We start from the raw sequence: 23,589 nt of genomic DNA, 5'->3' as shown, positions 1-23,589 counted from the left end.
AGCCTGGGGGACAGAGAGAGACTCTCTCTCAAAAAATAAATAAATAAATAAATAAATTAAAAGAAATTGAGAAGGCTCCCTGGAGGGATTGGATGGCGAGGATGGACCAAGCTCTGACACCCCACGGTTGCGTGTTCCTGGCAGCTGCAGAGATCCAGACCATGGAGATGGGGCGTAGCCACCCAGATGCACAGAGGGTCAAAGTTGAAGTGGGGAGGGGCATCGGGCCCTGTGCACCGCACACGTATGTATCCTGGATCCAAGTGCACAGAATAACCACCCACATGGACTCTGCAGCCCTTTCTCTGGCTGTCAGTCTACTGGGGTCTCAAATCTCTGAGCTGCTCAGGTGGCCCAGGGGAAAGGAGAGCACCTGGAGGGGTCTGCACACCTGGATGAGCCCTGCAGTGTCTTGCTTGGGGCTTGCTCATAGTAACTGGCCAATAAATATTGTGTGATTGGCTGTCCCATTATGTAAATTGTCCAAATTGTTTGTGGTTTGTCTGTTTGAGGTGAGATTTCATTTCATTTCTTTCCTTTTTTAACATTTTTATTTTTGAGACAGGGTCTCACTCTGTTACCTAGGCTGGAGGGCAGTGGCGCGATCTCGACTCACTGCAACCTCTGCCTCCCGGGTTCAAGTGATTCTCCCACCTCAGCCTCCTGAGTAGCTGGGATTACAGGTGCACACCACCACGCCTAGCTAATTTTTGTAGTTTTTTGGTAGAGATGGGGTTTCACCATGTTGGACAGGCTGGTCTGGAACTACTGGGCTCAAATGATCTGCCCACCTTGGCCTCTCAAAGTGCTGAGAGTACAGGCATGAGCCACCACACCCGGCCTAGAGATTTCATTTCAATGAACTCATGAGCCACGTTCCTTTCTCTCTCCGCTCGGTAGTGTCGGGCAGGCAGCAGGAGAGTGTACAAGAAGCTAGGTGTGGGCAGTTCTGCAAGAGGCCCCAGCTGCTCTATGGAGCTCCAGGGAATGGTTCTGGTTTGTTTGTTGTGCTGGAAGCTTTGCGGTTGACACCTCCCTCTGCACTTTTACAGCACGTATCAGTGTGTTAGTCCTAGGCACTTGGCTTGACATAACTTGCTAGGATGGAGGTAGGGACGAGCCTGTCTGAAGCGGGGGATTTTCCTTGGCCCAGTGGTGCTCACTTTCCAGGACTTACTCTGGGGCCTGGAAGCAGACTTTCCTAGGATGGTGTTCTACCAGTGCAGGGTGGAGATTGCAGAGTGCGGTCTCGTAAGGATTCAGTTGCATGTCCAGGTTATCCAACCTCATGTCCATGTTATCACAATCCTATGGGGGGCAGGGAGTATCCTCATTTCATAGATGAGGAAACAGGCAGAGGTTAATTGCCCAAGCTCTCTGAGCCGGGACAAACACTCAGGCCGACTCCAGCATTCACTGTACTGACCCCAATATCAAATCCTTTTCATCCCCACCAAGTTTGCCTGCACTTTGAATTGGCAATGCACACATGTCAAAACTCAACTGGATCGGCCACTTTGAGACTCTGGTGTCTCCCTTTCATGATTTTGGGGAGAGGAGCTCAGATCAGACGGCAAGAGAAAAGAAAGATGGGGTTGGGAGCATGTCCCTCTGAGGACCCAAGAGAGAGCTGGCCATGGCAGGCTCCAGTGCTCTCAGAGGACGGGTGCTGCATCAACGTGGACTCAGGACATGGCCAGCCCTTCACTGGACAGATGAGCAGAAAAGCACAGCCTGGACATCACAGTGGGACCCCATCTCTACAAAAAAAGTAAAAAAGCCAGTGGGCATGGTGGCACATGCCTGTAGTCCCAGCTACTTGGGAGGCTGAGGTGGGAGGATCACTTGAGCTGGGAGGTTGAGTCTTCAGTGAACTGTGATCAGGCCCCTGCACTCCAGCCTGGGAGACACAGCGAGACCCCATCTCAAACAAACAAATAAAACAAAAATATGACAAAAAAGCAGCTCCCCCAGGGTTCCCCAGACACAGGATCAGGCTCCGTGATCCTGACTTTGGGTCCAGTGTTCTTCCCCTCCACCGCGTCTCTACCCTGCCTGTCACTGAGCACAAGGACTCCAATGTTCAGCCAAGGGCCACCCAGTGGCAGAAGAGAATGAGGAACTTCCTCTGGGTGCAAAATTTAATGGGGTGCCCCCAAAATTCAGAAACCAGGGGAAATAATATTCGAATGCAATATTTTTAAAAGTCCAAATCAAGGCACAAAATCTATGATGACCAAAATATGAAACTTTTAACTAATGGCAGGATGAGTAGCTGTGTGGTGACAAGCCGTATGTATCAGGGCCCAGGGCAACAGGGAAAATCAGTCGGCCCAAGCCTGTCTTCCTTTATGGTCGTGTTATTTTCTTCACCAGGGACTGCCTGTATTCATTTTGATATTGTATTTGTTACCTTTCCTGTGGTGCTGATAATTTTGATATTTTAAGTGTTATGTTAAAATATAATTTATCCCACTGCTGAGCTTTTGGTGCTGTCTTAAATTATGTGCCTGGGGTGAGTGTCTCACCTGCCCCACCCTATTCCTGGACTCCCTCCCTGGGAGTGGCCCCCTCTTTTGAGCTGGTTCTGACTCAGACACCCCCATCAGCAAGCCCAGCCCCTGTCACTTGGGGAAACAAAAGTGCAAGGGGAAATGGGATGAGAAGGGTGGGGGAGGGGATCTGCTAGCTGAAAACTTGGATAGTTATTTTGAAAATGAGAATTAAGGTCTGTTGTCAGGCTGAGAGATTGCAACACAATAGTGCTTCAAGCTGTCTTTCAATATGACCTAATTTCTCCAAAAAAGGGGACACATTTGGAAACAATAAAAAGGAAGTAAGATAAAGGCAGAGGAGGCTTGCACCAAAAAACAAGCAATGTACAGTTTACATGGGCCACCACCTTCCCATGCCTTCACACGTTGCTTCTGGGTAAAGTCTCATTTCTGCAGCAGAATTCATGCCATCTTCAGATATAACAACTGCACAACACTGTTGTTTACAAAATCCATTGTCTGAGCCTCCCATTCCAACTTCAAGGTAATTAAGACAGGCCCATCTCCATTGCCCCTTCCTAGGTGGTGGAAGACAGCTTCAAGGAAATTAACTGATGTGCCAGGGCCAGCACGCAACAGGCATAGCCAGGACCAGTTAGCAATCCTGCTGAAAATCTATCCTCTTTAAGATCAACACTTAGCACAGCCACATGCAAGAAGGTGAAGATGCATAAAATTCAAAACACGACCAAGGATAAATACTGAATAGCAAAATCCAAGACAATACTTCCTCATATCTGTTTGTCTACTTCTCTATCTGCCCATCCATCCATCCATCCATCCATCTGCCCTCCCACTCATCCATCCATCATCCATCCACCCATCCATCCATCCATCCATCTGCCCTCCCACTCATCCATCCATATGCCCTCCCACTCCATCCATCCATCCATCCATCCATCCATCCATCCATCCATCCATCCGCCCTCCCACTCATCCATCCATCCATGCATTCATTCATCCATCCATCTGCCCTCCCACTCATCCATCCATCATCCATCCATCCATCCATCCACCCATCCATCCATCCATCCCTCTGCCCTCCCACTTATCCATCCATCCACCCACCCACCCACCCATGTTGATACACAAGCAGATATAGCTAGTGTTCTCTCAAGGCAGCTCACAGCTGCTTCATTAATGCCGAGATGGTGGTTCAGAAGAGGAACATCGCCTACTCTGATTAGGTGCTCCAGCTCTCAGAAGCCATGAAAGGATGGTTTGGGGCTCTGTTACTTTCCCCATGATATTGTCATACCGTGCCGCGCTCAGGTCCTAGCCTTCTGTGTTATCGAGATAACAGTGTTTCTGCCACAGTTGATTTTAGAACTTGACACTCAGAGTGGGGAGGTGTAAGGAGGCTTCACAAACCTCTAACTCAACTGTCTCATCTTATAAATGAGGAAATAAGCATTGGCAAAGGGCACTGCACCACACACCAGGTTTCCTCACACGCCCATTCATGGGACAGTGTCATAACTGATGCAAGGGTTCTGAGTCTTTGGGATAATTCATCCTGAACTCTAACACTGGATTTCACAGGTCTCCACCACAGGGCACCCAGCAGAGAGCCCTCCCCACACTCACGTTGAACTCCTCCCGAAACTGCTTGCAGTCGTCGGCGGATCTGATACGGATCTCCTCCTCCAGGTGCTCCACGGGGATGGGAAAATACTTCTTGGGCCCTGAGGGTGACCTGCTGAGCAGCATCACCCTTTGCTGCTCTGTGGGATCAAAAGAAACATGGGGGCCATTTAGCCACATTCCTGGATAGGCGACTGAGTAACCAAGCTGACCAACGACATTCCTGAAGAAATGACCAGGCTGGAGCTGGAACAGTTCTCTCAAATCGCATAGCTGGGCTAAGCCGGGTCCCGAGCAGCTGTATCCAAACACTCGCCTCCTGTGAGGCATCCACATCATTTACAAGTGACGGGCGTCCCTCTGCCCAGTGTCACCTGCTCTCCCCCATTGGAGACAGCCTGTCCCCCTCCCGAGGCCACTCATCCACCCACCCTCCCACCTCTCCTTCCCTCCAGCCCCTGCTCCTTCCAAAAAGGATTCAAGACGGCCTCACTCTCCAGCTCAGCTTTCCAGGTTTGGAAATAAGAAAGAGTAATTACGGCTTCTGGGAGCAAACTCAGAACGTTCTCTCTCAGCCTTTTCTTCTTCATAACAAATATTCCTGGTTCCTCAAACCCCATAAGCTCCAAGGGAAAACCACCCTTGTCTGGGGAGGGTGACAAGGGGCATTGAGAAGGAGAAGTACGCGTTATAAGGGAGTTCTTGGACACATTCCTTCCCCAAGTTCGGAGTGAGAGGCAAGAACAGTTATGGACATGTCTTTCTCTTCCTGGAGAATGAGCTGATATTGACAAGGTCAACATGATAACCCAGCTGTCACACTTGCAAAAGGGCCTGTCCCCACCTGCAGAGCCATTCTGAAGCCCAGCCAAAAACTTCACCCAAGACTCATTCCTCCAAGTGACAGATGGGATCAGAATGAGTGATGCTGAGCTTCCCTGCTACTCACTAGCCGCACCCTCCTCCCTTCCGTTCCTGCTATTGAAACATTCAGGGCAGGGAACCGGGGACTGGAACGAGGGCAGGAAGACAGCACCTGGTGCCACATTATCGTCTAACCAGGTCTCGGGTCCCGCGAGCGCTGGGAGGCTACATTTCAGCTGGGTCCTTGTTGGTGATATTCTTTTAATGATCTAAGGGTCCGTTTTAAGAGTCTATTTTAGTCTGACGGCACGTGTGTTCCCCCAAACCATAGAACTGACTACAGTTAGGTAGGAAGCTGACTCCAGGAAGTTGTAGTCACTGGGGTGTGAAGCAATATTTTTGTGGCCTCTGCCTTACACACGTTTCTCGGTCATCTCATCTCTATGTATGGAGAGAAAAACAATGTTCCTTTGTAAGTAGCGACAACAAGTTCGAAACTGTACTTCGGATGGAAAAGTTGGAAATGCTCCCAGCTGACTCTGATGCTCTGTAAACATGAAGCACTTCAGGAGAGCGAGTCTCTTTTTCCAGCTGGATCCTAAAGCAGTACAAACCCAGCTGAATAGTTTCTGAGCCAGACAGTCTTATCTGAGAATGATTGTAAGGCCTCACTGAAAAGTGTTACATGTCAACACCCTGTGAAAACGACAGGATATGAACAGTCTCTCTAAAAAAAGCCACAAACAAAAATGTCTCAAACGTCCATGTCACACCCGAGAGAAAAATGATCCTTAAAGTTTTGAAATAGTGAAATTCTAAATGACAGCATCATACCAGGTAGAGTGAGATGAAAGTGGCAAGGCACACCTCAAAATTTACTTTGAACGTTAAAGGCAGAAAGCACCTCAGTGTCTGCTAAAAAAGAACACATTTTCCCCCAAGCCCCAGCCAGAGAGCAGCTTCTGTACCTTGCTCCTCCAAGATTCCGTTGGGCATCTTCTTGTCGCTGGTGCTGACCACAGCTTTCCTCTGCTTCCTGAACCTTAGAGACACAGGATGCGTTAGGTTTCCACACTTCTAGGTTCCCCGAGAGCCAACAGCGCTCGGCACAGTGATACCCACCAGGTGAGCCGGGAAAAGCTACTCCTGTTGCTCATGGCTGAGCCGCGCTAAGGCCTGGCCTCTGTGTGTCTCCCAGGCCCAGCCACCCAGCCTCTCAGCTGCCCTCTGCTGCACAGCCCACGCCCACAGCATCAGAAGGCTCATTTCCTCCTCTGAGCTGGTTGGGGCAAGTCAGTGCCCCGGGACACTCCTACCTGAAGAAGTAGGCGGCGAGAAGGAGCACGAGGAGGAGGAGCAGCAGCGGCAGTAGCAGCCAGGCCAGCAGCGGCTGGGAGGCGCCCGGGTCCGGAGGGCCTGCAGGAGAAGCAGAAAGACCCTAACCCCTGACCTCACTTCACAGTTTGCAAAAGAGTCTCCCTCCATAAGCCCTTCTTCCTGGACACCAGAACCCCAAACTATATTTTGTAAAGTGGATCCATCATCCTGAAAAGGCCCCACGAGGTAACAGAGAAGCGACTTTAGTTGTTGCTGTTGACTCAGAGAAAGAATCCGGGACTGAGGAGTGGGTGAGGTGACTTGTCCAAAATCCCTGGGGCAGGCATGACAGGGGTGAGTTCCCCAGACCCCCACACGGCCTGGCTGCCTGGCTCTCCTGCTAAGAAGCTGGAGAAGGGTGAAGGGGCCGGTGTCCACTGCAGGGTCCTAGGACAGCGCGGGAGGCTGACTCGGCGTAGCTCAGCTCTTAGGGCCCCTTGGGCTTGGGCAGGAGCTCAGGCACAGGGAGGCGGCCTGGCCCTGGGGCTGGGCAGAGGCCTGTGGCCCTGGCGCACTGTGACCCCACCTTTCAGAGCCTCCAGGTCCCGATTCCACCTGTCAGAGGCCGAGTGCCCAGCCACCACCGGCCTCTTACTGTGTCCTTTGTACCTGACAGGTTGACCTTCCTCACCCAGAAAGAGACCCACAGCCCCAGGCCCAGCTAAGTGGCTTTGTTGCTGCTCAGGACCCACCCCTGGCTCATCAGCCCAAATTCCAAGGGACACTGGTGGCCTCGCTGCCACCTTTGGACCCCACCCACTCTCCCAACGTCGCACTTTGTTCCTGCTCCTCCCCCGCTGGCCACACAGCCCCCTCATCACCAAAATGTTCCCACTCCTCGAGGACAATCTCAAAGGCCCCCACCTCCAAGAAGCCCACTGGACTCCTCTCTTGTGGACCCAGAGGGGCCCTGGATGCCTCAAAGCGCAAACCTCGCTCTGCCATGAGTGAACAGGCCTCAGCATGACTGCCTTGGCTCCCGGGTTTCTGGGGAAGCCCCTCGAAGGCAACGACCGGGCTTCCAACTCTTTAAGTTCCCAGAAGCACCAATCACTTGCCCTGAGCCCAGCGCAGGGTCCATGCGCTTCCTCCTGAGGGCTGGCACGGCCTCCCGAGGGTGCTCCGGGCACTGGGAGGGCTCCGCAGCCCCAGAGGCTCCGCTCACCTCACACCCCTCATCTGGATTCTAAAAGGGACCCTCATGCCTTCCGCCTTGCACCCTAGGTTATAAACTCCCCAGGGAAGGTGTGGCTTTTCCTCCCTCATCCCCTACCCTCCCAGGCCTGGCACTGACTCTGGCACCCTATGAGTGGTCCGCACCATCGTTTCTCATAAATGATGAAGTTTTAGGGACGTGGGTGACCATTAGATGTTGAAGTTCACAGAGGAAACAGCTGGTCTGTGATGCGGAGGTGGCCCCAGCCGTGAGAGAGGGCACTGTTCACCTGGCCCACCCACTAAGTGCCCACCTTCCAGGTGGGGTCCGTGCCTCCCCCATCTGGCTAGCAGTGTCAGTAGCCTGGCAGCCTGGCTGTCCTCTGCAGCCCCCACACTCAGGTGTCTGTGACCCTGGCCCAGAGGAGCTGGTTCTGGCCCCACACAAGGTTCGGTTGGTGCTAGGATGAGTGGCTGGGTGTGGCTGCCACAGTCCCCCGCCTTTGACCTCCAACCTGCCCACAGCAGAGCTTCCCTGGGGAAGTGAGCTGGCCTGAGGCTTCCACACTTGCAGCTCCAGAGAGCACCCCTCTCCACTCTGCCAGGGCCCTGGAGCAACTCCGACAGGCTGAGTGGGAAGACCCCTGACACGGAGGGAGGGGCAGCCTGGAGCCCAGCCCCACGGAGGGCCTGGCTGCTGCTCACACTCCAGACTCAGCCAGAAAGCTTGGGCCTCGGTCCCCCTCCTCCCTCTCGAATGTACCCAGGTACATCTGCCCTCATCTCCCGGGGCCCCAGGCAATGAAACTTCCCACTTCTGCATCACACAGAGGTCAGGCTCTGGGCTCAGCTTCTGCAGAGATGGTGACTACTAAGTTTAGTCCAAGCCAACTCATGGGGTCCTCTCATCAGAGAGAGACACGAGGGAGCACCTGGGCCCCACCAGCCCTCCGTGGGTCTGGCCTCCACGTTCCTGCCTGTAGTGAAGGCTGCGGTCACAGACATGGGTACTTCCATAGAAGACGGGGCTGAACCACCCAAGCCCAGAAAGGGGCCGTGCACACGGGCAGAAGGGATGGGTCACAGGGCCAGTGGCTTCCCCAGCTCTGTTCCTGGTGTTTCTTAGTAGCTACCTCTGTTCAGGAGGCCAGAGATCAGGATCAGAAACCCAATGGCCTTCAAGGGGCAGGTAAGAACATCCCTGGGTGGTGTGGGGAGGCCAGGTGGGGGCGAGAGTTGGGACTCCCCATGTCCTGCCTGCAGGGATGGCTACTTCTGAGTTCCAGCCCACTGGGGCCAAGCACAAGGGGTGCCCACAGTGCCTAGTTCTTCCCACTTTCCTAAAGAAGAAATTCATATTTTTATGTAAACATTTTCTGATTTTTAAATATTGGTAAGAAATTCAATTTAAAAACATTTTTTTTAAATGGTGTGGACCAGGAAGAAAACAAAAATATGTCCTCTGGGCACCAATGTGGTCCAGCCAGGAGTCAGGGAGTCATCTGAGAAGAAATTCCTGTCACAGTTTATTTTCATTTCATGTTATTGTGGCTCTGACGGGGTGGGACAGAGGTCAGGGTGGCCAGTCCCCAGGGTGGTCATCCTGAAGCAGCCTTCTTCCTGTATGACTGTCTAGCTATTGCCCAAAGTGAAGTGTGTGTATGTTCACACCAATTTTATACATACATACACTTGCAACTTGTGTGTGTGTGTGTTTGCTTACATAGAATCTGATCCTGAAAGTTGAAAACCTTAGGCTTGAATGTGACTTTGGAGGAGACAAAGAGAATGGCAACCTTGGCTGGAGTGTAGCCACCCAGCACCCTCTGCTCAGGAAGCTGATCCTGAGCTCTGGCCAAGAGCCGGGGTCTTCCAGGGACTACCTCAGTTCTGCCCCAGGGCACAGCTGCTCTCACTGTGTCCCCTATCTTATCTCCATCCCTCTTTTCCTCTCCCACCTTCATTCCAAGCCCTCCTTCCCCAGGGGCCCTAGAGGCGGAGCAAGTCCATACTGAAAAGATGTGGCTCACTCAAGGACAGGTGTGCAGACAATGGTTTAAGGTCCCAACTCACTCCGGCCTAAAATTTTCAATGTTCAGGAACCTGTTCTCTTTGCCAGAGTTAAACATAATTAAGATTTCAAAGCGTATCTTTCCTGACATTTTCTTCTATAAATTTACGTTCATAAATATGCAGGTTTGGGAAATAAATAGACCATACTACTCCTCTCGTTTCATCTACAGCTTCACGGACTGTAAAAAGTATCGTTATTTTAAGAACCACTAAGAAAGAAAAAAAATGATACTGATTATAATTGTGAAGTGCTACCAATTTTAAGACACGTCCCCATATAGCCACATTAAATATGAAAGAAACAGATGAAATGCACCACGGGGCAGTTCTCCAGCTTGCTTTTCTGGTACGGCTGTCTGTCTTGGAGAGTTTCCATGTCAGCCCAGATAAGCTTCCTCATTCTGTTTAATAGCTGCTTGGATTCCACTTTTTGGATAGACCAAAATAGGATGGACATTTAAGTTGTTTCCAACTTTTCTGCTATTACCTACAATTCTGCAACACACACACACACACATATATATCTTTGTGTCTCGCAAGTGTTTCTGTAGGACAGCTTCTGTGTTAGCCTGTACGCCTGTTACATTTTAACACAATTGCCAAGATGGCAGCCCCAAGTGTCCAACTTCTACATTCATCCACAGCGGAGGTCTCTAACTCCCCCAGGACACAGATGGATATCAGTCTGTGGCCTGTTAGGAACTGGGCCACACAGCAGGAGGTGAGTGGCAGGTGAGCAGGCATTATCGCCTGAGCGCCGCCCCCCGTCAGATCAGCAGCGGCATTAGATTCTTACAGGACCGTGAGCCCTATTGTGAACTGCGCATGCCAGGGATCTAGGTTGCGTGCTCCTTAAGAGAACCTGATGCCTGGTGATCTGTCACTGTCTCCCATCACCCCCAGAGGGGCCGTCTAGTTGCAGGAACACAAGCTCAGGGCTCCCACTGATTCTACATGATGGTGAGTTGTATAATTATTTCATTATATGTTACAATGTAATCATAATAGAAATAAAGTACAAAATAAATATAATGCACTTGAATCATCCCCAAACCACCCCCCACCCCAATTCCACGGAAAAACTGTCTTCCATTAAACCAGTCCCTGGTGCCACAAAGGTTGCGGAATGCTGCCCATAATGTGCGATGGAGCCAGTTTCTCTTCTCTGGGATATTTTGCCAACCCTTTGCATTTTGGTCCATCTGATAGGTAAAATGATAATGTCATTTTAACTTGCATTTCTCTAATTTCTAGAGAGTTGAGCATCTTTTCATGATTAGTGAAACATAATTAGATATTTGTATTCTACCTGGTCATATTCTCTACTCATTTTTCGACTGTGTTCTTTTACGTATTATTTTTTATAGATAACATTTTATTACATAATTTGTAAACATTTACCTTCAATTCCTTCTGTAAAAGAATTTGTCTGCATGAGTACTGAATATATTTTGTTCGATGAACAAATGAAACAGCTTCCTATTATTTTGGCACACTGTGGAAACGTGTTATCATCTGAAATGGTCCTTCATACTTCTTCCAGGGGTCAGATGAAGATTTAAAGGGCACTTCACAGGGTCAGGTTCCCCTCCACAATTCTAGGTCAAACGAGCCCGTCTGCGCCTTATAACCCGAGGCCCATTTCCCTCTTGCTCGTGGACCAGCAGCCTTGCTAAGCACGCAGAGGCCCTGGCAGAGGCTGGACCAAGGTGTGAGTTTCACATTTAGTTCTGCTCTGGGTGCTGAGGTCACATGACAGTGTCCTCCTCCTGCAAGTAACACCCCATGTCTATGGCAATATGTGAGCCCAATAATTTTGTTTTCAAATAAACTGAAAAGCCTCAGATGTGGAGTGGACGTCATCCTGCCGGTGCCCACAGTGCCACCCGAGGGACTGTCTGCAGAGCTCGGGCAGATTCTTCCCCACTGTTGCGCAAACGGATGTTCTGCCATTGTGGCTCCTGGATGTGAGGGTACATCCGGGCAGTTTGTCAGATGTTTCTACGTGGCCAGTCGATTAGCGTTGGGAAGAAAAGTCGGGATTGTGGGTTGAAATAACTCTTTGAACCACCAGTGACCTGCCCCTGAAAGGCTGGCTTGCAAAGAGGCAAGTTAATATTTGCGGGCAGCTTCTGGTCTCTCATTTTTGGGGTTTTGGATTTCTCTGAGGTTTCAACATGAAGAGGAAAAAGACAGGTGGGCGCTCAGAACTGCTCTCCTTGCTAGAGGTTCTGTCACCAGAAATCTTTACTCTTTCCTCCTCCTGGGGCCAGTGGTACATTTGCAGGACATTTGTCCAGGGTTTGCAGGACATTTGTCCAGGGTTAGGGAATCATGTGGGGCTCTTGATGTGACTTTGTTCACAAGCCCCCACCCCCACTTCCCTCTTGCTCTTTTCTGCATAAAGCCCAGACATCACAGTTCACTCGTGAACCCTTCAGCAGGCATGTCAAAAGGCAAGGACTCTTCTTTTTAAAAATAAAACTAACCATGACGCCAATATCTGACCTAAAATATTAAGAATAATTCTTTTTTTTTTTTTTTTTTTTTTTTTGAGACGTAGTCTCTGTCTGTTGCCAGGCAAGAGTGCAGTGGCACAATCTCAGCTCACTGCAACCTCCGCCTCCCAGGTTGAAGTGATTCTCCTGCCTCAGCCTCCCGAGTGGCTGGGACTACAGGCGCCCACCACCACGCCCAGCTAATTTTTGTACTTTTAGTAGAGACAGGGTTTCACCGTGTTGGCCAAGATGGTCTCAATCTCTTGACCTCGTGATCTGCCCACCTCGGCCTCCCAAAGTGCTGGGATTACAGGTATGAGCCACCGCACCCGGCCTAAGAATAATTCTTTAGTTCCTATCATTAACTGTCACATCGCCTCATCCATGTATGTTCATGGTTGGTTTTCTGCACAAGGGGATTTTGGGGGATTTTTAACCCTTTTGCACTCCTGCCTCCAGCCAAGGCTGACCCTGACTCTCAGCTGGGGTTGTAGATGGGTCACCTCCAGAACACTAAGCTTTGCTGAACAACCAAATGCTAAACTAGCTTATTTAGCCTGCCTGTTTTTAGAGGCACAAACTATTAAAAGCACACTAAGAAATTCAGCCACACCATTCTTCTCTTACCCTAAGCCCCTTTATCACCCTCTGAATGGTCCCAGGAGCTTAGGAGGAGGTAGTAGGGGAGGCAGCCAGGGAAAGGGGTCCTTACCTGAGGTCGTGGTTGTCTCGTTGCTGTCGGCAGTGGTCTCGTTGCCCCTGAGAGCCCTGGCGAGCGGCAAGCTAAAACCCACCAGCAGGAGTGGACACAAGGGCTCCATGGTGGACCTGCAGAGAGGCAGGGACAGGCTCAGAGGTCATCCAGCAGCAGCTGTGGGACCCTCCGGTGCCAGGCAGTGATGATGAGGAGAAGAGCCAACTTCATTTCAGGGCTTTCTCTGAGCCAAGAACTTTGCCTGTCACTTTCACGGATCATCTCACTGAGGCTTCTCAACACCAGGGGGATACAGTCACTGACTGTGGACATTCACTCAAAGGAGGGAACCAGGACTCAAAGGACCTGCTTGGTTGATGGTTAGTGGGGGCAGATCAGGGACTGGAACCCAGGGTGATCTCATCCCAGACCCCTGCCCTCCCTGGAACCACTTAGCAGAAATCACATCTGGGTGACCTAGCCTGGCATCCTGGACCCTCTACCATCCACCCTCCACTCGCCCTGCTAACTCTACCCCTCCCATTCAAGCCCTGTTCTCTGGCCACGCTGTCCTCTTCACACCCAGCAAGACACTGCTTTTCAATCGGTTTCTTCATCCCCCTTCACTCTGCCTGGGAAACCTCGATCCTTTCAGGGCCTAGTTCATGCAGCCTCATCACCCAGCTGCAGCCAAGTTCTCTGTTCTTCGCTGCTCCAGCACACTCAGTCTGACTCCAGCACACTCGGTCTAGCTCCTACATGCTTGGTCTGGCTCCAGCATGCTCTGCCTGGCTCCAGCTTGACCCTTGCATCTGACCATGGCCATGTCTAAACTCTCAGGTGAAGTGGAGGTAAGCTGCCTCTGCGAGGATGGAGCCACGGTCCACTCATCTTGACAGAGCCAATTGAGTACCCTGGGATGCAGGTATTTATTGGGGGTAGGGGGTGGGAATGCCCAGGGGCAGACCCAGATTGTAAAGTGGCTCAGCACAGAAAAAGGCTCTTTCATGCTGAGGACCTGTGGGCCATCACCTCAGATCTTCACCTGGCACTCCATTTTGCCAAAACATCAGAGCATCGCTAAATGTGGCAGTGACTGCTTGGTGCTGTGGAAACCCCTCACTAGAGGCTCACTGGCAGGTGCAGGTGGGCAGTGGCACCTGCTGAATGGGATTTGCTGTTGACAATGCAGACATGCAGTGGAGGTGTGGCCCCCCCACTCCCCACCCCCTGAACCCCGTCCAAGGTCAGCCTGTCCCCACCAGCAGCCCTCCTGCCTGAGGCCTCCCTCAGGGATGCAAATGGACCCATTTCAGAACTGAGGCCAAGAAACATCCATTCCCCGGCTGCTCACATGTTAAACACTAATGCTTGTAATTAGAGAAGACATCTGAATGAGCATGAAAAATCCTAATTGTGTTTCAGTAATCACCACTATTAAGATGAAACCATTATGAGGATATTATAACAATTAGCCCAGAACAACGACGATGGTGGCAATCAGCACTTTTACTTCTTCCCTCTTTTTTTTATTTCCAAAACACACATTTTAGATTTGTAAAATGAGCCACATACACAAATAATTCCATGAGCACCTACTATATGCTGGGTATTTTATATCTGTATTATCCGCACAATAACCCCACAGGGCTGAGAAACAGAGGTTCCCGAAGGATAGAGAACTGGCCCAAAGTCAGGCTGGAGGATATGGAGGAACTGTGATTTGAACCCAGGAACCCTGGAGACAGAAGCCCTCACCCCCGCTGCATGCTGCCCTGGCCCTTCTACGACAGGCAGCTCTGCCCACAGAGGCACACACTGTTTTTAAAAATCTGGTATTGCACACTGCCACAATACTTTTAATATACTTGAGTAAATTACAGAGTAATTGATTGGGGAGTATTAATTGGTTTAATACAATTCCAGAGATGCAGAATTCCTAGTTGAAACATTTTCTTATCTCATGCATTAATTTAATAACCCTCCTCTCCAAATGCTCAGTGATCTAAGAGGAGGCCGACACCCTTGAGAAAGACAAAGATCATTTTGTTCATCTGTTAGACACTGAGGTCCGGAAGTGCTCAGGAGAGCCACAGGTGATTTTCCTGACATGACCAGCAATGGGCGACAACCTGCAGAATTCAAAGCCTGTCCACCAGCTGGAGCCCGGGTCTGTCCCCATTTTTTATATGTATATATATATTTATACTTTAAGTTCTAGGGTACATGTGCACAACGTGCAGTTTTGTTACATATGTATACATGTGCCATGTTGGTGTGCTGCACCCACTAACTCGTCATTTACACTAGGTATATCTCCTATTGCTATCCCTCCCCCCTCCCCCCACCCCACGACAGGCCCCGGTGTGTGATGTTCCCCTTCCTGTGTCCAAGTGTTCTCATTGTTCAATTCCCACCTATGAGTGAGAACCTGTGGTGTTTGGTTTCCTGTCCTTGTGATAGTTTGCTCAGAATGATGGTTTCTAGCTTCATCCATGTCCCTACAAAGGACATGAACTCATCCCTTTTTATGGCTGCATAGTATTCCATGGTGTATATGTGCCACATTTTCTTAATCCAATCTCTCATTGTTGGACATTTGGGTTGGTTCCAAGTCTTTGCTATTGTGAATAGTGCCGCAATAAACATCTGTGTGCATGTGTCTTGATAGCAGCATGATTTATAATCCTTTGGGTATATACCCAGTAATGGGATGGCTGGGTCAAATGGTATTTCTAGTTCTAGATCCTTAAGGAATCACCACACTAACTTCCACAATAGTTTTAAGGCCAATGACAACTTGCCAGTCCCTGGCCATTCACTCTCAGTGGGCTTGCATAAGTGACCTGGTGAGCACAGACATGAATTGGTCCAAATGATGCTTGAAACAGTGATTAAAATCATGCTGGGCCAGACGCGGTGGCTCATGCCTGTAATCCCAGTATTTTGAGAGGCCGAGGCGGGTGGATCATAAGTTCAGGAGTTCAAGACTAGCCTGCCCAGGAAACCCTGTCTCTACTAAAAATACAAAAAAAAAAAAAAAAAAAAAAATTAGCCGGACATGGTGGCAGGCACCTGTAATCCCAGCCACTCAGGAGGCTGAGGCAGAGAATTGCTTGAACCCAGGAGGCGGAGCTTGTAGTGAGCCGAGATCGCACCACTGCACTCCAGCCTGGGCAATAGAGCGAGACTCATATAAAAAAATGCAGAATTTTAAGGATTTGTATTTCATCAGTTTCTGTTGTGAGCCTACCAAATGCTGAGTATGTAGAGCACAAATTGCATGTGATTTCTAGAACTGAGATGAGAAAAGGAGTTTATTTATGATAAAGCAGGTTGTATATTTACTCCCCTCAACAGTCAACCTGCTATCTACTTCATTATAAATCTGTCTTTTTATTCCATCTGATGTCTTTTTAATATTCTTCACTGGGCAAGTTCTTAGGTCAGGCAGCCAGGTAAGCCCCAGAGATGCAAAGAATATAGTCTTGTTTCAGCCCTAAAGTAGCTCATTGAGGAGGAAGGGCAGGCAGAAGAACAGCCACCCTGATACCCCACTCCCATGCTCTGGAGACAAGGCCATGTGCCAAGGAGCAAAGGTGAGGGAGCAATGATTCCTCTTGGCAGTTAATGAAACCTTCCCCAGAAATGCAGTGCAGTGAGTGAGTCATTCAGGACGGAAGGCGAGGGAGACGCAGGCCAGGGGACAGAGGAGTGAAGGGAGCCCAGACAGAACCCACTGTCCAGGCAGTTCACAGTTCTCTGGCATGTGAGAGAAGATGAGTGAGGAGGAAAAGTCTGAAGAGGAATTGGGTAGGTCCTCAATGCTATGCTAGATTTGGCTTGGCCCTAAGGGCTCATTTTCCATTAACAATCTACATTATTAGAGTCTCCTGGGGGCACTAAGGAATGATGCCCACTCCTGTGCCCAACTCCAGATGGAAGAAATCCGAGTATCTGGGGAATAATGGCTTTATATAGACTGAAGTTTGAAAATCTTGGCTACGAGTCATGAGCCGCCAGGAAAGTTTCCAAAGGGAGCCCTGGATGCTGCGCGTCAGCTCCTGACACAGGATAGCCTTTGCGGCCGGAGAGTGGTCCAGGAGCCCGAGCATCACCTGGGAGCATGTGAGGAATGCAGAGTCTCAGGACCATCCCAGACCTCCCACCTTTTATGAAGATTCCTCGGTGGTTCCTCTGCTCATTAATATTTGAGACGTATTGGTCTAAGCAATGGATTAAGAAAGACCAAGCCGGAGGCAATGGGAATGGAAAGGAGGGAGGGAGTTTAGAAGGATTTCAAAGGTAGGGTCCCTGGCAGTGGTGGTCAGTGGGATGTGGGTGATAAGTGGGGCAACAAAGGTATCGGGGTTTCCATCTTGGGAGCTGGGGTGGGAGGGAGCATCATTCATTAGCTGAGACAAGGACAATGGGGGCTCTAGGGTGGGGATAAGGATGATTTTTAGCTGGAGGCATAAGGCAATAATATAAGCTCCCAGTTACTGGGCTCCTATGAAGCGGGATAAGCTACCTGAGGTTCTGAGATAAATGACCTCATCAACCCTCACCGAAATCCTATGAGCAATGTCCTGTTGTTACTGAAGATGAAAGGTTGCATTAGAGAGGACAGTGGAACATTCCTGGGGAGACTGTCTGTAGGAGTTGCATCTGGGGTCTGGGGCCTTGTCAGAAGGGGAGGTGGGCTGCAAGTGCAGCGTGTGGGGGAGGCACTCCTTGTGGGGGTTATTGGGGAGGAAGGCCAGGGTCAAGGTGGCGAGCTGCAGGAAGTCACTGCACTAGGGCCCGAGGAAGGGAGCTCGGCAGGAGACTGGGAAAAGGTGGCTGGGCTCGGGGGAGGGCAGAAGGCAGGTCGAGGTACACACCCAGGGTAGGAAAGGGATTTTCCTGATCCCCGTCCACTTCCCAACATCCCTGCCTCCTCTTTTGGAGTGGTCCCCTCTCTCTCCTCACCCTTTACTTGACCCCACCAGATTTTGAGGTTGAGCGACCTGAGATGGAGTCCTTCCTGGCATCACACTGTCTGGCCCTGTGTAAGGTGATTTGGGTTTTGGACGTCTCAACCAGCCCAGGAGACCCCAGAGTGTAGGGGCTGTCTTGTGTCCCCGTTTCCCAGTCCCTGACTTTCTCTCCGGCACCTCAATAATTGGAGCTTTCAGGGCATTTGAGGGCAAGGGGCCATCCCTGGGCCAGTGCCTCTGAGCAGGAGTTGCCCAGCTGACCCCTCTGGCCCTACCAAACCCGAAAGTGCCCTTTCCAGCTGGCCCAGGATGTCCAGCAGTGGACTGACCCACACTGCCCCCTGCAGCTCCAAGAGGGTAGTGTTTTCTCTCTGCAGCCCGAACCCATCACCTACCTGGTCAAAACCTGCAGCTGTTTGGCTTTCAACTAAGAAACAGATGAGGGTTCTTCTCAAGGAAGCAGGAGACAATGATTTGGGAGCCATACTCAGGTTTCAAAGCCACCGCACTTAAAGAGAGCCCCTGGAATGGGTCCCATGTAATTTCTCATCCAAACCAGGACTTCTTGGAGAGCAAAGGAGGGGGCTAAAATGATTCAAAATATATGCTTCTCTAAAACATTTATTGACCAATGATTTGATTTTATTAAGCTGGGAGGCTATTAAGTAGTTCTATTCACAAAATATTTTTAAAAATTAAACAATCTTTCTGAAAACAAAATAACATATTTTGTGTGTGTGTGTGTGTATATATATACATATATATGTTTTTAAGAAAACTTTTTTTGGATGCCCAGGCCGACAGATCGCTTTGAGCTCAGGAGTTTGAGACCAGCCTGGGCAATATGGCAAAACCCTGTCTCTACAAAAAATACAAAAAATTAGCTGGGCGCGGTGATGGGTGCCTGTGGTCCCAGCTACTTGCTGGACTGAGGTGGGAGGATCACTTGAGCTTGGGAAGCGGAGGTTGCAATAGCCGAGATCATGCCACTGCACTCCAGCCTGGACAACAGAGCCAGACCTTGTGTCAACAACAACAACAACAAATAAAAATAAAAGAAAAAAACCTTTTTGTATTGATTATCTGAAAATAAAATGAGAACGTAAAATAATACTTATTCTCAGCACACATTCACAGGCTCTGATCAATTTCTTAGCCTTATCTGTTCCTAATATGTTTCATTCAATATATTTTTCAATGTTCTTATTCATGTTTTAATTTTTAAAATAAAATTGCCTGCATTTTTTTAGATTAGCATTTTGTGAGCTCTCATCATTTAATTCACTTTATTGCTTCCTTGTTTTTGTAGAAATAAGTTTTAGTGTCTTCCTGTTCATAACCTCATTTGTTTGTTTGAGGCAGAGTCTCACTCTGTTGCCAGACTGGCTCACTGCAGTTTCAACCTCCTGGGCTCAAGGGATCCTCCCATCTCAGCCTCCCAAGTAGCTGGGACTACAGGGATGCACCACCATGACTGGCAAAATTTAAGACTTTTTTTCGTAAAGATGGGGGGGGTCTCACTATGTTGCCCAGGCTAGTCTCAAACTCCTAGACTCAAGCAATCCTCCCGCCCTGACCTCCCAAAGTGCTGGGATTACAGGTGTGAGCCACCACCATGCCCAGCCATAACCTTTGTTTTCAATAATTTTAACTCTATAAAAGTTTCAAAAGCCAAGAGTTCTGTGTGTGTGTCGGTGGGGGGGGTGGTGTGGAGGGGAGGGTTTTGGGTGCTCCATTTATTGAATCCTCCCATAATATATTTCCAACTAGTTTGGAACTAAACTAAACTCACACTTAGGGCCTTGTTTGCAGAAAGATTCACCATCTTTTTAGGACACTTAGGTTTATTTACAAAATAATTCTTTGAAGGCCCGAACATTTCTAGAATCTGATTGATGATGAGCAGGAGAGAGAAAGTGCATACTACAAAGCGGCAGTGTTTTAAAAATTCAACATCAGCCTAATTACCAGGAATTTGCAGTTTAGTTACTCTGTGTACATGTAACTATTTATAAATTTTGACATCAACAGCTTCTATTTTAACTGATGAGATGTCCAATTTGGACACAATTATAAATGCTGTGAGGCTGGGTGCAGTGGCTTATGCCTGTACTCCCAGCATTTTGGGAGGCCGAGGCAGGCAGATCACTTGAGGTCAGGAGTTCGAGACCATCCTGGCCAACATGGCAAAACCCCGCCTCTACTAAAAATACAAAAATTAGATGGGTGATGTGGTGCACGCCTGTAATCCCAGCTGCTCAGGAGGCTGAGACAGGAGAATCGCTTGAACCCGGGAGGCGGAGGTTGCAATGAGCCGAGATTGTGCCACTGCACTCTAGCCTGGGTGACAGAGCGACACTCCATCTTGAATAAATAAATAAGTAAATAAATGATGTGTACACCATAATCAATTCCAAGTACAATACATTTACTACAAATGCCGAGCTTTACCCAAACTTATATAATCATATTCATAATTCCCCCACAAATAATTTTATCATGATGCTGACTCTTCCACTGCCTTTCCTGTGACATTAGTAATTAAGTCAAGGTCTTGCCTTTGACAGGAGGAACATCCAAGTTGTATTGGGATTCCATGAAATGAATAAAAAAATAAAATAAAACTGCTATGGGAATGGACTGATTTTGTTTGAAAATTCCTGCTTGAAAGTGACACTGATGTAACACTGGCATCATCTGATGGTTCGTGAAATTCTTCTACCCTTGGGAGCACTAACAGCTATCACTTCACCTTCTGTAAGCACACAGTGAAACCTGGAATTGAAGATGAGCAAAATTAGCTGAGAATAGTCGTTTGAGCTAAGTGAAAAGTCATGCTTTGTTAGCAGTTTGCAAAGCACCTTCAATTTATCATCCTCAGGTGCAGGGTTCTTCAAGCAGCCGCTTAGTGAATACTGATGATCTCTTAGTAGCTTTTTATTTCTTCCTGGCTTCTACGTGGTCAGCGACACCATTACAGCCCCCGAGGTAGTTAGTAAATGTTTATAAGTATTTTGTATAAATTACAAATTATACCAACATTATCATCAACTTTCTGGAAAAAAATCAGTGCTTGATATGCCTTTTCTAATTATTCCTGACCCACAAGTTTAAGGCAAATTCAGAAAGTTCTATTGAAACATAATTTAAATAGAGTTGCAGATTCACACCATATGATAAATGCCCAAGCCCATGGAAGAAGAGAGTTCAGACTGTTTGTTTTTTACAAGTTGTACTGACTTCCTGCAAATATTTCAAAATCCTCTACCCTGTAATTTCTCATGTTTCTGATAGGTGCTGATGACCATGGCATCTCACAGGCCATGGTGTGGGCCGCAGCTCAACTGGCTGGTGCCACAAGTGGCCAGCAAGAGTCCCAACCCTGAAGCCTCCTCCCGCCACACTGGGAGGCCAACGGGAGTTGGTTCTAACCCACTCTTCTCCAAGGGCACTTTTTCTCTTCTAACCTGCCTGTTGTCCTTGAAAGGTAAGTGTTACTGACATTGTGTTAGGAAAGGGTGGTGAAGAGAGAGAAGACGGTGGCTGTCATCTTCCGGATTTAGTCATGATTAAAGAGAGCCTGTTCCCTACACAGGTGTCTCCATCCTATGAGGAGAGCACAGCAGAAGCTTGGAGGCACAAGTGGACAGTCTACAGAACCTTCCTGGATTCTGTTAATGCAAGTATCATTTCAACATTAAAAGTTTAATTTTCAGCCAGGCATGGTAGCTCATGCCTGTAATCCTAGCACTTTGGGAGGCCAAGGCAGGTGGATCACCTGAGGTCAAGAGTTCAAGACCACTGTGGCCAATATGGTATAACCCCATCTCTACTAAAAATACAAAAATTAGCCAGACGTGGTGGCAGGCGCCTGTAATCCCAGCTACTCAGGAGGCTGAGGCAGGAGAATTGCTTGAACCCAGGAGGCGGAGGTTGCAGTGAGCCGAGATTGCGCCACTGCACTCCAGCCTGGGTGATGGAAAGAGACTCTGTTTCAAAAAAATAAAGGTTTAATTTTCAATTGCTCTAAGATGAAAAATATGGAGCAAATGTGAAAGTGGACAGGACACAGGGATAGCAAGCAGAAAATAGGGCTGTCTCTGTTGAAGAGGGAAATACGGCCCCCTGGAGAGAATGCAGAGAGAAGGGGTGGCGTGGTTGGAACTGAGCCCTGGGGCCCTCCAAGATTTAGATCTCTGACCCCTCTGTCATGAGACCTGCTCATATTTTTCCTTCTCTCAACAAAACACATATTGATTCTCCCCTTACTCAGTCTCATCCACATTTTGCTGCCCTGAAGATTCACACCTGAGCCAGGTAAGGAATGTAGCCTTGCTCAGGTCCGACTGATGGCTGCACCTGCCCGTCATCTGGCAGAGTCACACTCACAGGTACTTCATGGCCCCCAAAGGCCATTGCTCACTCAGAAGAGATGTGCTTTATCAGAGGCTACCTGGCAGGGTCGTGGGAAACATCAATATAGGAAACAGAACCACTGCCCAAAACACCCTGGCCAGGAAAACAGCAGGGCCCACACAACATGGCTCCACCCATCCGCCCTTGGGGCTCGGCAGTAATGGTGTGAAACAATGGAAGTGTTGGGAATGTTGGAAACAGCACAGCCCTCCCGCTGTCTCCCACTGAGAAGAGGGCACCCGGAGCTGAGGCCTGCAGCCCCTCCACGGAGCCTCCGCTCAGGGGTGTGGCTGACAGAGGAGACGCTGGCCAGCTGCACCCCAGGCCTCGCTGAGTACAGCCCACCCTGGATCAGACCTCCAAAAGTGATGATGACTGGACTAAACTTCTGTGGGTAGGTTTACGCTACACTTTTGATTTCAAAGAAATCCATCAGCTGCCAGTTGAGGGAGACTGTAGACTCAAGAGTACCTGCTGGTTGGCTTATGTATTCATCCATGCATTCATTCAGCATTGGTTACTAAGAGTTGACTGCCAGGATGTGGAGAGACAACTAAACAAGACCAACACTGCCCTTGGCCCCTCCTCCCACCTCCCCACTTCCAAAGCTTGCGATTCAGCCAGAGAGAGAAAAGACTTCAATAACTAGAATGCAACTGCCATGTGTTAGGCGGGGGAAGCACACGATGTGGTAGGGGCGCCCTGCAGGGTGCCTGCCCCTGTCTAGAGGGGTCTGGAGGGCTGCCTGGGGAGAAAGGGAGTCAGCCGGTCCAAGGAGGCTGGGGAGGTGAGGGAGGCCTGCAGGGGACAGAGAGCACAGGGCCCTGGGAACCCACAGAACCTGAATAGGACGCGGGCGACCAGGAGTCTCCCCTGGCAACGCCAACCCTCAGTGTTCAGAGATGTCCAGGAAGACCTTGCCGGCAGGATTATCCATGCACGCGGCACTGCTCAAAGCAGAGGCCAACTCTCATGCAGGTCTCTACCCTGGTGCCTTCTCAGAGCTGCCACAGAGGAGGTGCTCCACGGGTGTTTTTAAAGGAATCGCCATGAAGAAATAAGGTGTCGGGGACTGACACGTGGATTCTCTCCAGCACATCAACTCACGGCACTTTCTGAAGGGCCCGGGCCACGGAGCCTGAAGACCCAGCTGGTTCGACGTCTCTCTCTGCCTCTCTTTCTCATTAACTCTCATCCTTTCTCTCTCTCTCTCTTTCCCCTCCCTCTACCCCCAGAGGAGGGCCTTTTCCAGAACACTTAACCTCTCTGCGCCTGCTTCCCAATGAGTGAAACAAGAGAATCCCACGAAATCATAAATGAGTGAGTCTTGTAAACTGTAACTCATCAGGCAAGGGCTGGTTATTGTAACGGCGTGGCCCCGTTGTTCGCCAGGG

The 23,589-nt window shown here is 49.4% G+C and overlaps 1 protein-coding gene across 23 annotated transcripts in view, besides 4 other annotated features; it reads right to left on the bottom strand.

Annotated features, from left to right (window-relative positions):
* The window catches only part of PTPRE (protein tyrosine phosphatase receptor type E), a 178,753-nt gene that overhangs the window by 32,047 nt on the left and 123,117 nt on the right, over nucleotides 1-23,589 (bottom strand). For 15 of the 23 annotated variants that reach the window (NM_001316676.2, NM_006504.6, XM_047425578.1 and 12 more), the window contains 4 exons: nucleotides 12,819-12,934; nucleotides 6,320-6,419; nucleotides 5,972-6,045; nucleotides 4,143-4,279 (listed from right to left, as the gene is read on the bottom strand). In NM_001316676.2, coding sequence (NP_001303605.1) covers nucleotides 4,143-4,279; nucleotides 5,972-6,045; nucleotides 6,320-6,419; nucleotides 12,819-12,934 — 427 coding nt within the window. Of the gene's footprint in view, nucleotides 1-4,142; nucleotides 4,280-5,175; nucleotides 5,273-5,971; nucleotides 6,046-6,125; nucleotides 6,198-6,319; nucleotides 6,420-12,818; nucleotides 12,935-23,589 lie in introns of those variants that run through there. The other 8 variants (NM_130435.5, XM_047425582.1, XM_047425579.1 and 5 more) reach the window with 4 other exon arrangements.
* Nucleotides 6,021-6,070: an enhancer, noted in NCBI's record as "active region_4198". NCBI's record gives its function as "activates an Ori minimal core promoter by ATAC-STARR-seq in GM12878 lymphoblastoid cells {active_cell/tissue: GM12878}" and the evidence as "EXISTENCE:reporter gene assay evidence [ECO:0000049][PMID:35858748]".
* Nucleotides 6,371-6,440: an enhancer, noted in NCBI's record as "active region_4197". NCBI's record gives its function as "activates an Ori minimal core promoter by ATAC-STARR-seq in GM12878 lymphoblastoid cells {active_cell/tissue: GM12878}" and the evidence as "EXISTENCE:reporter gene assay evidence [ECO:0000049][PMID:35858748]".
* Nucleotides 7,849-8,348: an enhancer, noted in NCBI's record as "H3K4me1 hESC enhancer chr10:129843725-129844224 (GRCh37/hg19 assembly coordinates)". NCBI's record gives its function as "activates a minimal SCP1, AML or CMV promoter by ChIP-STARR-seq in primed H9 embryonic stem cells {active_cell/tissue: H9 hESC(primed)}" and the evidence as "EXISTENCE:reporter gene assay evidence [ECO:0000049][PMID:30033119]".
* Nucleotides 8,349-8,850: an enhancer, noted in NCBI's record as "H3K4me1 hESC enhancer chr10:129843223-129843724 (GRCh37/hg19 assembly coordinates)". NCBI's record gives its function as "activates a minimal SCP1, AML or CMV promoter by ChIP-STARR-seq in naive H9 embryonic stem cells {active_cell/tissue: H9 hESC(naive)}" and the evidence as "EXISTENCE:reporter gene assay evidence [ECO:0000049][PMID:30033119]".

Source organism: Homo sapiens, chromosome 10 (genome assembly GCF_000001405.40).
Source record: "Homo sapiens chromosome 10, GRCh38.p14 Primary Assembly".
Taxonomy (NCBI): domain Eukaryota; kingdom Metazoa; phylum Chordata; class Mammalia; order Primates; family Hominidae; genus Homo; species Homo sapiens.
Note: the sequence above shows the minus strand (reverse complement) of the source record. Positions and strands in the feature narration are given on the sequence as shown.